At 35.0% G+C, this 13,931-nt stretch overlaps 1 protein-coding gene across 3 annotated transcripts in view; it reads right to left on the bottom strand.

The window, feature by feature from the left end:
- Positions 1–13,931, bottom strand: part of VTA1 (vesicle trafficking 1) — a 77,423-nt gene that overhangs the window by 53,257 nt on the left and 10,235 nt on the right. For 2 of the 3 annotated variants that reach the window (NM_016485.5, NM_001286371.2), the window contains exons 2-4: positions 5,107–5,201; positions 1,752–1,879; positions 1,008–1,083 (exon numbers count right to left, since the gene is read on the bottom strand). In NM_016485.5, the coding sequence (NP_057569.2) occupies positions 1,008–1,083; positions 1,752–1,879; positions 5,107–5,201 (299 nt within the window). The remainder of the gene's footprint in view (positions 1–1,007; positions 1,084–1,751; positions 1,880–5,106; positions 5,202–13,931) is intronic. The other variant, NM_001286372.2, reaches the window with a different exon arrangement.

Below are 13,931 nucleotides of genomic sequence, written 5' to 3'. Positions count from 1 at the left end.
ACAGAAAAAAAGTCATAAAAAGATTCTACCTCCAGTCCCAGTGTGTTGGCTCATGCCTGTAATCCCAGCACTTTGGGAGGCCAAGGTGGGCGGATTACCTGAGGTCAGGAGTTCAAAACCAGCCTGACCAACATGGTGAAACCCTGTCTCTAGTAAAAATACAAAAATTAGCTGGGTGTCGTGGCATCCGCCTGTAATCCCAGCTACTAGGGAGACTGAGGCAGGAGAATCGCTTGAACCTGGGAGGCGGAGGTTGCAGTGAACCAAGACTGTGCCATTGCACTCCAGCCTGGGCAACAAGAGCAAAATTCCATCTCAAAAAAAAAAATGATTCTACCTCAAGTATGTTCAACAAATTACAGTGTAAAAACTTAACAACATACAGGATTAGTAATATGTTAATACTTAGTAAGATCAAACTCTAAACCTGTGCTGTCCAATACAGTAGTCACACATATGCTGAAGTGTAAAATACATGCTGGATTTAAAGAACTTATTACAGGCCAGGTGCAATGGGGTTCACACCTGTAATTCCAGCACTTTGGGAGGCTGAGGCAGGCAAGATTGCTTGAGCTCAAGAGTTCGACACCAGCTTGGTAAAACCATGTCTCTACAAAAAAATACAAAATTAGCCAGCTATGGTGCCTTGTGCCTGTAGTCCCAGATACTCAGGAGGCTGAGGCAGGAGAATTGCTTGAGCCCGGGCAGGCTGAGGCTGCAGTGAGCTGAGATCACACCACTGCACTCCAGCCTGGGCAACAGAGCAATATCCTGTCTCAAAAAACAAATACAAAAATAAAAATAAAGAACTTAGTACAAAATTAAAATATATTATTGGAAATAATTTACTTTTTAAAAATGGCTAATAAAAAATGCAAAATTACATTTTTTGCTTGCATTAATTTCTGACAGACATTCTGCTGTAAATAAACAATGCAATAACAATATTGATAAACAGAAACATTACTGATCTTCAGCTAATAAGACAATAAAGAATGTACACTCACTTCATCAGTGAGTTCTCCAAATACTGTTATGACATCTATCAAAAGACTTGCAGTATAGAAGGACTTGATCATGTTTCTGGAAGAGAAAAGAGAGCGGTCTAGTTTAAATATGAAACACATTAAAATGTAGTTTTGTCATTTAGCTATAAGAAAAAAAATTCCTATCTTTATAAAAGCACTCTGAAATTCATGTTTTAAATAAAATTAGATTTCAAGAAAATAACAAAAATGGTTTTCTAATCTGTTACTATGAGAAAGTAACAAGACTCACATTACAAGTAAATGCGCTACGTCAAGATTTTTTGTATGTTTTTGACTTTAGAAAAATGTAATTATAGTATTATCTGACTCCATATCAAACCATAATGTATTTCTTTAAATGTAAATATTATACTGATAAATCATTTGAATTGATTGGGGTGGGTACCTTCAAAATCAAAATCATCAGGCGGGGCTGTGATTTTGGCTAAAATCAACTCAGATTTTACTAAATGTTAAAAAATAGCTAAGTAGAGCATATTTACTAAGTAAATAAATCTGCCCTGGGTATTTCTTCTTTCAGCCATTTTCTTATAAGAGAAAGGCCCGAATTTGTAATCTAAAATCACCGTGAGGTTTGATAATTTTTTTCTAAAAAAACCTAAATCAATCAGCAGGTTAGAAAGTGTTCCAGAGAAAACTAGTTAATTTTGGTTATACAGTTACAAAATTAATAAAATAATTTTTATTTTTCTCTTTACTTACTTGTGAAATCGTCCAGCACGATCTTCATTGTCTGCATACAAAAACATTTTCAAAGCATAATTCTCCAAATGGGCACAGCCCACTATTTCTTGAGTAATAGCTTCATTATCACCCAACTGCTTCTTTAGCTAAAATAAAATCAGATACATAGCTTATGATTTTGGACTCTCAGAAGTGTTGACTTAATTACAAACAATTCTAATAATCATTTTAAGTAAATTATTTTACATTCATTTCAATAAAAGATGTCATCAATGAAATCTTGCAAAAAGAGCTGCTATGCCTCAGCCCAATGCATTTAAAACAAAATCCAATGCTTACAACTTTGAAGAAACACACTTATGATAAACTGAAAATATAATTTAGCTCTAACAATCAAAATAACCAAGCATAAAAGGATAATATATCCAATTATCCATGTGAAGGAAGCATCAAATATTTCAAAATCATGTTTTATTACCCAAACTATAAGTTACCCTAAAAATAGAATTAGAAAATAATTTCTAGGCATATATAACTTAAAATTTTAATTTATTCCCATTTCAATTTCTGTCAAATCTAAAAAAAATAAGACTAGAAGGTTCATCATGTCGTAAAATAATATCTCTCGGCCGGGCACAGTGGTTCACACTCGTAATCCCAGTACTTTGAGAGGCTGAGGCGGGTGGATCACGAGGTCAGGAGATCGAGACCATTCTGGCTAACACAGTGAAACCCCGTCTCTACTAAAAATACAAAAAGAAATTAGCTGGGCATGGTGGCGGGCAGCTGTAGTCCCAGCTACTCGGGAGGCTGAGGCAGGAGAATGGCATGAACCTGGGAGGAGGAGCTTGCAGTGGGCTGAGATCGCGCCACTGCACTCCAGCCTGGGCGAATGAGCGAGACTCTGTCTCAAAATAATAATAATAATAATAATAATAATAATAATAATAATAATGATATCTCTCAGAGCACATAGTGTGAAAAACAAAAAAGATCTAATTCAAAGTAAGGTATAAGATGACAAACTCAGAATCAAATTATGGAAGCTTTTAAAAATTAGACAAATATATACCTGCAATCAATGCAACTTCTATCTGTAAATTTTTAGCCCTTTTCTATAGACACAATAATTTAAAGCATTTAAAAAAAGTTCCTAATTTTTACTCAGACTACAATACAGGAATAAAATAACTCTCTGGAGTATCAGATCTGAGCATCAAACTAGTTAATTAAAAACTGCTTTTTTCAAAGATGTTATAAAGTAAAAAATTAAATTAAAAGAAGCCCCAGGATTTTTCATAAAATCAGCAAAGTAAATACTTTCATAATTAAACAGAATAACTTATGGTCCAGAAAAGATTTAATGCTGAAATTTAAGGAAATTTTATCTATGTTTATCCTGAACAAGAACAGAAAAAAGAAAAAAAAAATCCCCACAGATAACAGTAATTTGTGTATCCAAACTGCAAAATCATTTGTAAAGGCAGATTTCATTGTAGAACAATTTTAGTGAGAGTAGGCCACTTCATCTCATCTTCATCAGAAAATACCTGACAGCAAAAACATAATATACTTGAAGTTTTAAAACTGTAATACAAACACCACAGTGTGCCCTTACCATGGAATACATTTATCTTACCTGTCATTTAATGCAGATAGTGATAAATTCCTGATGAGTCCCTTTATAAATGTGATTTTACACTTCAGAAAACGTTTGAATTTTGTCTTACCCAAGAACTATTATCTGAGCTACTACTGCTATACAGTGAAGTTAATAAAGAGACATTATACTATACAAAATGCTAGAGTTGGATTTTACAAATATACTGCTATGTGTGAGAAACATTCTCCCTTCTACCCCAACCCATTCCCTAGAAAGAGAGTACTCAAATTTATCTTGTATCCATAGAAGCAGCTGTAGAAATGCAAGGCCAGATAGGCTCCAGAACAGCTGAATTTCCTCAGTGCTGCCATGAGGCTGATTTTGGGTAGTTAACAGTAGCAGACGACAGGAGTCAGTAAGCCAGACAGCCACACCAAGTGAGAGAGAACACTACTGCCCATGGCTGCTTTATACAACTAGGTAGGAAGTTCTGTCTTCGCATAAGTCTTGTTTGAATCATAACCTCCTAACAATACATAAAAACAATGAAAACAATAAAAAGCTCTGGGCTGACTAGTGTGTTTTCATTTTGGTTTTTATTTGTCTAAATTTTCTCTAAGCAAAATAATACAACTGATAGAATAGGTTTCTAATTCTCCTGAGGTTGGATATCTAAATAAGCAAATAAAAAGTAAGTCACGACTATTAATGTAACAGTCTTGGAGGAGATGAATTAATGAGTGTACCCTGACTTTGTTAAAAGAGAAACCAGGTATGGCTGGGTCCAGGAGTTACAGGACAGAGTCCTCATTACTAAGTGTGACTACTAAGGTTGGCACTGCCTTCTTTATGCACTGACATCCAATCCAATAGGCACTTCTCCAAAAGTACCTCTACAGTGATCTGTGACGTTATATTAGGTTCAAGAAGGTGACTAATTAGTCACCTACGACATTCCTGCTAGGAGGGAAGGATGCCTAAACCATAAGAATATCTTGCCCTGGGACCCCAGAGAGGGAGGAAGAAAGGATAAGTAATTGGCATCATTTCCTTCATTGTTCCTTTCACTAAATACACAGCCCATTATTTCATTATTATAAGAAATATTAAGATTCCCAAATTAATCATCCACGTGACTGCAAGGGAAGGTTAGAAAGGGTTTTTCACGGCTGGGCATGGTGGCTCATGCCTGTAATCCCAGCACTTTGGGAGGCTGAGGTGAGTGTATAACTTGAGGTCAGGAGTTTCAGACAGGCCTGGCCAACATGGTCAAACTCCATCTCTACCAAAATATACAAAAAAACTAGCCGGGCGCGTTTAGCGTGTGCCTGTAGTCCTAGCTACGTGGGAGGCTGATGTAAGAGAATTGCTTGAACCTGGGAGGTGGGGGTTGCAGCAAGCCGAGAGATCACGCCACTGCAATGCACTCCAGCCTGGGTGACAGAGTGAGACCCTGTCTCAACTTAAAAAAAAAAAAAGGAGGGGTTTTTCACCTATAAAAGGAGGAGCCAAAGGCCATCTATAATAATGTGGAACAAGATATGATGGCATATGCAAAGATACTTGAACATACTTTAATTAACACTCATAACCTCTCTGGAAGTATACAGCAAATAAATGAAAATAAATTATTACTAGTTTTTCCTCAGGTATAATGGCTTTGTTTGATTGTTGCCAAGGGAAAGAACTAAAATGACAACACAGACACGCAAATGAATAAAATGGTATTTTAACCATAACCAGAAAATAAATGATCAGTGGTTAACTTACAGCTTCTAACTGATCCATTAACTTTGATAAAAATTTGCGACATTCAGGAGTTTTACTATCGATCTTCATTCCAGTCTGCATTGCGTATAAACGACCTAGAAAGAAAAGTAAGATAATTTGAACAATTTCATTTTTAAACATCCATGTTTATGAGTGTTTAAAATATAATTGCTAATAAATAATTAAAAATTCAAGTAAATTTAGAAATAAAACTGATTTACTATGGAAGTTATAAACCTAAAAAGCACAAAAATATTATCCAAAGAATGCAAGACATTCATGATAAATTTTTTTATCAAATAAGGCCTTCTCTTTTGGTATTATGTTAAAAAAAAAAAAAAAGAGGACTAGGTATGTCCTAAGCTGTCAAAGGCACCTATAATTTAATTGGTAAGACAGAGCACACAGCAAACAACCATATGTACAAGAGCACCTGCCAAGTGCCAAATAAGTGATACTGACAAAATATTCAAAATGGGCTGGGATAGTGGGAAATGAGACTTGAACTGAGGTTTATAGAAAGAATTGCTATAGTAATTTTACATATACTCTCTCTTTGAATAAATATACCTTCTCTTTAAAAAGTTAATAAAAACAACTGAGATAAGGCTAAACCTAAATAGCTGTCACCACAATTTCAGTAGCTTTCCCAGTGATAAGAACTGTGAACAGTTCTAGTGGTAACTGCTGTTACCACTGATGTTTACATACAATGTCTGTAATTTACCCCTTACATTCAACAATATGTCCTAGAGATCTGTGTCAGTGCTAATGTTCTACAGCATGAATGCATCATGCTAACAAAAGCACATTTAGGTAGCTCTCAAATTTTCATTACAACTGTTGTGCACAAATGCAACAACAAAATGCAACGAAGTTTTTGAATGAAGATTGATAGTAAAACTCCTGAATTGCAAAATACCTCCTTAGGCATAATGCAAGAGAGTTCCCAGGGGAACCAAGAGGTGAGATTCTTGGGTCATAGTCTCTGTGCCTGTTTCATTTTGAGACCTACGGTTACGCTGCCCCCCAAAACAAAAGTATCAATACACCATTGTATCCGCAACATATACAAGCACTCATTTTGCCTAAACTCACAAAAAACTTATTAAACTTACATTCCTATCAATCTGAAGACTAAAAACACTCTGTTTGATTTTATATTTTCCTAACCACTAAAAAACTGTTAGATATTTACTGAATAGCTCCATATTCTCCTTTATGAATTAAGGATAGCTATCAAAATAAAATAATCTTCTGTCAAATTGGTTTGCTTTTAAACAAATTGACTTGTAACAATTCTTTATACTGTATGAAGTAGAGATATAACGTTCCCCCACCAAAGGGAATCTTCTATGTATTTAACCTGTCTGTACCCTAACTAGAATTTACACTCCATGATGACAGGGATATTAGTCTATTTGGTTTGCTGATGTATCCCTGGCATCTAGGACAGTGGTTGGCCCTTGATAAACATTTTCTGAATAGACAAACACATGAATGAAAGAATAGCTCATTCTGTCCTACTGATTTAAATGTCATTTTTATCATTCATTATAATATATTAAGTTTCCATGGGATAATAGGGCCCAACTCTGTATACTGCCTACCCTGCTGTGTTATTCTATGGGTCTACCGTTGTTTAATTTACTAGAGCTTTATAACAAAGTTGAATATCTGTTACTCTCAGAATTACCAATTCAATTATGGTCACATGTCAAAAATTCTCTTTAAAAATTAATATACACACGAAACAGTTACCTATTTATCATATCTGTGTGTTTTTAATTTTAATGGTTTTGTCCAGAGGAACTGCTTTTTAGTGCTTAGGCTTTGAGGGCTATCTCATATTACAGAGCTTGAAGTTTAATTTAATAATGTATTCATAACCACATATCAATTTTAAGAATTCGATCCATCTAGGTATTAAGGAGAAAAAAAAAAGAGTTCCAAAAGTGTAACCGAGATATACTGCACTACCAGCGTAGTGCACTTTGCTTTCACTGCACACTAACTAGCACTGAAGATCACTTTGACATACAAAGGGATGCTAATTTGATCTCAGATCAAATGTTATCTCCTTACAAGGTAATATCTATAAATCTTAATATGCTCTTTCCTCCTCAAATTTAAGCTTACTGTATCTTACTGTATTGCCAAAATTTCCCAAAGAATATTAGGTATCTTTTCTCTTATTTTTAAGAGGATGCTTCTAGCAGAAAGTAGGATCAGCTCCATGCCAGGTGGCTCATATTCCCCTAAGAGAGCCAACACCCTATGCTATACTGAAGCTAGCTAGGCCTTTGAGTCCCATATGATCCCAGGGATTGGCAAAACAATTGGCTAGAGTATGGAAAATAAAATATTAGCATTTATATTGATATTTTATCTAATTCTTTAAAAATTTCTATTTTATATATCTCTTATAATACAGTATTAGTACATCAATATGTAAATGTAATTCATAAATAATTTACATAACATATTGCAGATTTGTATTCAATGTTTTTTCTAACTCATATGGATAGGTGATCAAAAGGTTGAGACTTGCTGCTTTATGGCATCCTCACTCCTCTCAATTATGAACTATGTTTTCTTGCCCCAACCTAGCCCATGCCTCTTCCCCACACCCCCATGCCTTCTACCAAAATCTCGTGGAACCACTGCTTTTCATCAGCATACTCCTCTACATTTTCTGATTCCTTCTCCTTCTCTGTCTTAACTAAAAGCAGTTGTCACTTGAAGAAATCATTGTATTTGCAGTCTTCTTTAGTAACTTAAAAAAAAAAATTTCTCACATACCTCTTTAGGACTGGCAAGCTGCTATATTATTACTAAGGAGTTGTAACATACCTAGCCAAAAGAGTACATTTCCCAGTATTCTCCAAAGCAAAATATGGCCATGTAACCAAGACTAATATTATATTCCCAGAAATAGTTAGGAAAGACTGTTGCAATGTCTCCATAAAAGGGGGAATGACAGCAGGGAAAGATCTTGCAGACCCTCTCCCTTTTTTCCTCCCTACTACCTAGAATATAAATACTAGATGACTGAAGCCCTAGTACCTATCTTGGGCTACAAAGCAACCTTGGAAGTGTGCTGGCTGGTAAATTTGAACTGCAATCAGCTGGGGTCCCTGATGACTTAATGGAATTGGTGTACTAACATAGGGTACTGCCAACATCAGACTTTCTTTACATGAAAGAGTAAATCCTTACTTTACTTAGCCATTGTTATTTTGGATTTTCTGCAATAAGCAAGTAAATTGAATTCAAATGTAAACACAGCCCATGTTCTCAATTCTTATTGACCCCTGACCTCCAACAATTTTATGTGCTCTCTTTCACTCAGTGGCCATTCTATAATTAAACTGCCACCTCAAACTACTGCCAAAATCAATACATCAAGCGCCCACTCTCTAAACATAATCTCCTCTTCTTCCAACATTCAACTATGCACATTACTACAGGTTTCCAGTTCCCTGGCTTCTTACTACTTCTTCATTATGATCAGTCTTCTCCCCTTTAACTTCCCTCTGCAACTAGCTTTGATGTTACATTTTAAGAACTTTATTTTACTATCTCCTTCTACCTCTAAATTTTTTATTACATCCCTCTGGCAAAAGCATACTCATACATAAACCCAACTATCTTCTTTCTCTATATCTGCATCCAAGCAGCAGAAACTGACGACAGATTGTCATCATTACAAATATCGTAATTATCAGTCTCAAATGGGCTTGATACTTGCTTTCCCAACATCCCAAATGACTATTTCAAACACACTTTAATCTCGAAGACAACCAACTTACCCAATCATACATACACATCAGGTAATTATTCATGATCTAAATGTACACTGGCCAATATGATAAAATAATAATTTGAAGGATGGTACCGACAGTGTCATCTCCCCACAGGTCTTTCTCTCTTTTTAACCATAGTAGTGAACACTATGTGAGGCCTACCATTCATGGAGCAGAGTTAGCTACTTGATAGATCAATTTTGGGAAGAAATATAGGGAACAACCTAGACAGTAGAGAAATAAGGTTGATTCCTAAGACTGCCCTTGGCTTTAGTGACAGCCATCTCAGGATGTAACCATTAAGCAAACATGCAGATAATTAACGCAGCACATACAAATATAAACAAAATATTCACTTCTTGTCCTTTAGAAGTTAACCTAATCCAGATAACTAATAGTTAAACACAGTGTAATTATAATATAGTTTAATTAGCCTGGCCTACATTCATTTTTTTCTTAGTTTGTGTGCATATGTAGTCTTTGCAATTACAAGGACATTATTATATGGTAATATCTTTAATTGAAGAATTGGATCCTCTCAGCATTAAAAGATTTAGGACAAAAATTGGCCTGGCTTTTATATTTCTAAATATCTTACATTGCAAAGAATTCTTAAGTACAAAAAATTTACCATAAGATACATTTTCTACTATTAATAAAAAGGAAAATTCCTTGAATTCACTTAAGAAAACTCAGTTTAAGTACACTAAAACATCTTTTTGCCACAGGGATGAAAAAAGGATCTCTTTCATAAAGAACTCTGAGACAAGCAATTCATTCTAGCAGCAGCAATACGATGAAAAATTAATGTCTAACATGGAAAATACCTACAAAAACAGAACAAATAAACATTTAGCTAAAATCATCTATAAGAAAATATATTTGATTTATTTCATCAAGGAAATGTGTTTATCTTTATGAATAAATATTATTTGATGATGAGTAATGAGGCATATTTGCAAAAGGATTAAATACTTTCCAACTTGAATTTAATTTAATGTGAGACATTTAGAAAACAAACATTTACTAATTCTGAAGGTATATGTAATCCAAAGTTCCTTAGAATTTGAACATTAACATTCTAACACATCCTTGCTTATCCATAAGAACATAAAACTATGAAATACGCATGATAAAAACACACGCAAAAAGATATAAAAGCAACTGTGAGGAGTGAGGCTTTGATAGGTTAAAAAATGTGGCACTCAATAGAATACATATTGATACACAAAAGCAAATTTTATTCCAAAAAATAGAACTGAATGTTATTCTATTCCTAAATATATTGCAGATCTTTTCTATATGGTTAGTATTATCCTTTGTGAAGGGATTTCTGTGTCAAAGATTATTATACAGTTTTTGTACAAAACATATCTAACTACTTTCCAAATTAAATAATTTAGGCACACTATTTGACCCAAAAAAAGGGGGGGGGGGGAAGGAAGGAAGCATGAATGAATGCCTGCTAATAAAGAATACTTACTTCACTCATCCCTTCGTTAAATAAATACTTTTGGAACTCCTGTCGTAACAACAATTTTAAGAAAAAGCCACTCCTGACTTCCTATTAAATGATGTAATGAAAATCAAAGTATAGGGTAAGAATATCTGGCTTTTTCATTGTCCAAAGAATAAAAAGATAATCACTGGGATTCTGATATTATTGTGCTGACACATGGCGAACACTAAGTGATGATTTGATTATTAAAATGAGAACACAGATTCTACTTCTGGCCTTGATGAAGTAACTATGGTTATCATCCCACTGTAAACAGAAAAAATCTGAACAAAATATATGTAACAAGTTTTCAGACAACAGAGATAGAGGAAGACCATGATACCTGGAGAAAGGAAACAAATGAGGTGGCACCAATGATCAGCCCAGCATTCTGCCCGGAGGCACACGCCAAACTAAGGCCCAGGAAGAGGAGTCCCAAGCAGAAAACAGTCCTCTTGAGTTGAAAAAACACACTGGAGTGAATTCAGGGAGACTGAGGCAGTTGTACATTAAGGGGCAGAGGTCTAAAGAAAAGGGAGCTATGCAGGAAAAAACCCAGAAATCTGAAGAAGGGTAACCTGGAGACTCAGCTGAATACTAACATATGGTGTGCAGGGGGAAGCTCCTCAAGGCCAAAGAATGAACAAAACCTGTTCAATAAGTTGAATGTTCCCAATGCACACACAGGGTTAGAACGCATTCAAGCTCCAACCAGAGAGAGTGAAGAGTTCTATATGTTACCCTGGGTATTCAGTAGAGAATCCAAGATGGGCATACTTTTGTAGCGGTGTTAAACTCTCCCTAGAGCAAAGGCTACTTTAGACCTACCCTGAAAAGCTAAAAATAAACAAAAAAACAATACACAAAAGAATCAAACTGAACTCCAAATTACTTGTTGGCCAGATTGAATCCCTTCAAAGAAAGATGACAAACTCCAGACATTCAAGAATGTAAAATTCACAATGCCCTACTGCCAGTCAAAAATTACTAAAGAGGCCAACAGATAGGAAAATGTGATCCATAAGAAGAAAAAATATAAGCCAACAGTATGAGATCAAACAATGACAAAATAATAAAAACAGAAGATAGTGACATTAACATACTAGAGAACTATAGAAAGCATTTAAAGAAAACCATGAATAGAAAGGAGAAATGGAATATACACAAACGAATCCAAATGAAACTTCTAGAGGTAAAATATATATCGGCCGGGCACGGTGGCTCATGCCTGTAATCCCAGCACTTTGGGAGGCCGAGGTGGGTGGATCATGAGATCAGGAGATCGAGACCATCCTGGCCAACACGGTGAAACCCTGTCTCTACTAAAAATACAAAAAATTAGCTGGGTGTGGTGGCAGGCACCTGTAGTCCCAGCTACTAGGGAGGCTGCGGCAGGAAAATTGCTTGAACCCAGGAGGCAGAAGTTGCAGTGAGCTGAGATTGCATCACTGCATTCCAGCCTGGCAACAGAGCAAGACTTTGTCTCAAAATAATAATAATAATAATAATAATAATAATAATAATAATAATAATAATAATACCTGAAATGAAAAATTCAGTGGACAGGATTAATAGTATAGACACCAAAAAAGAAAAGATTAGTAAACTCTGGAACATTGCAATATAAACTACCCAAAGTAGTTTATATAATTTTTGAGATGGGGTCTCGTTCTGTTGCCCAGGTTGGAGTGCAGTGGCACAATCTCAGCTCACTGCAACCTCCACTTCCTGGGCGCAGATGGTTCTTCCACCTCAGCCTCCCAAGTAGCTGAGACTACAGGTGCGGGACACCATGTCTGGGTAATTTCTTATTGTATTTTTGGTAGAGACAGGGTTTCACCATGTTGCCTAGGCTGGTCTCCAACTCCTGAGCTCATGTGATCTACCCACCTCGGCCTCCCAAAGTGCTGAGATTACAGGCATGAGCCACCATGCCCAACCAATACCAGATTTAAAACTTGGATCTTGATGAGTACTGAAAATGATATTTATGTCGCAAAATATAAAAATTTTTATTTTTACATTTTATAAATTTCTTTAAAAGAGAATAGTTAAAAAATATATAAGGTTTATGGTATACGTATAAGTACAACGTATGACAACTATAGGCAAAGGATATGAGAGGGGAAAAGACAGTAAAGATCTTTCCTTAAATATTAGGTGGTATATTATGAGACAGTAGACTATGATAAGCTATGGTAAGCATTCTAGAGCAACCACTAAAAAAATAAAAGAGGAATATCTAGTAACTTCACAGTGGAGGTATGACAGAATTCTAAAAGAACTTCGATTATCAAAAAGGCAGAAAAAGGAGAAAGAAGAAACAAACAACAAATGAGACATAGAAAACCAATAGCAAGACTTAAACCCAAACATACTCATTACATTAATTATAAATGTTTTAAACATTGCAATTAAAAGGTAGAGGTTGTTATAATGGATAAAAACATAAGATCCAGCAATATACTATTGATAAGATCCCACTGAACTGGAATAATAATAACTTGATAATAACTAATATCAAACGAGTAATCGCCATGGATCATGTATTCATTTAGTCACATAAAAATAGAAAAATTGATTAATCCACCAAAAAATTTTGTGAAGTTGATCTTATTATTATCCTGAGTATGTTAATAAAAAACCTGAAACTCATAAGGTCATGCAGGCCATAAACGATAGGTTAGGATTTGACTCAGGCAGTGTGGCTCCAGAGTCTTACCCTGCATCCAGCAAGATGTCTCTCTTCATATACACATATAAAATTATATATAACCACAAATGTTATATACATTGCAACATGTAATTTGTTTGCACCCTTCATTTTTACATTATGCTGTGGGCTATGGCAGCTTTTGTAATAAATGTAACTCCATATATCTTTAACAGTTACATAATATAAACTTTCCATACTGATAGGTATTTAGATTTTCAATTATACTGCCTCTCGGGGGAGCTACAAAAGTGTGGAGGCTTTTTTTTTTTTAACTTCTATTTTAAAATGCAATGTCTGGGGGTACTATTACCATTTAAAACAGCAATATCCTGAAAGGTACTGGGCAGCCCTGACAACAAAGAATTGCTCCTCCAAGACTTGTTAAGGGTCACCAAGTAGAAACAATAATAAATTGAGGTTAAAAAAAAAAAACCCAAAATAGTAAAAACATAAAAATCTGACAAGCCACAGAAAAATAAATATAAAAAAACATAAAAAATGTAAATGTAACAGCCCAATGAAGAATTTCAGTGAAAGTAGGAACTTATATCAAGCATAGTTATTGAAATCTACTATATATATACCTTGACTGTTCAAGAGTATATAAGCTTCCACTTTGAACAACCAAATATAATTGTCATAGAAGACAAACCTTATCAAAGATGCTTAAACCTGTATGAATGCCAAAAAAGAAATGAAAGTTAAGAATCTGTTATCTGACTCCACAGCCCCTTCAACTTTACGGTTTTTTCTAAAGAGATGTAAAATGAGTTGACATTACTCAAAAAGGAAAGAAATAATTTTT

Source organism: Homo sapiens, chromosome 6 (genome assembly GCF_000001405.40).
Source record: "Homo sapiens chromosome 6, GRCh38.p14 Primary Assembly".
In the NCBI taxonomy this organism is placed as follows: Eukaryota; Metazoa; Chordata; class Mammalia; order Primates; family Hominidae; genus Homo; species Homo sapiens.
Note: the sequence above shows the minus strand (reverse complement) of the source record. Positions and strands in the feature narration are given on the sequence as shown.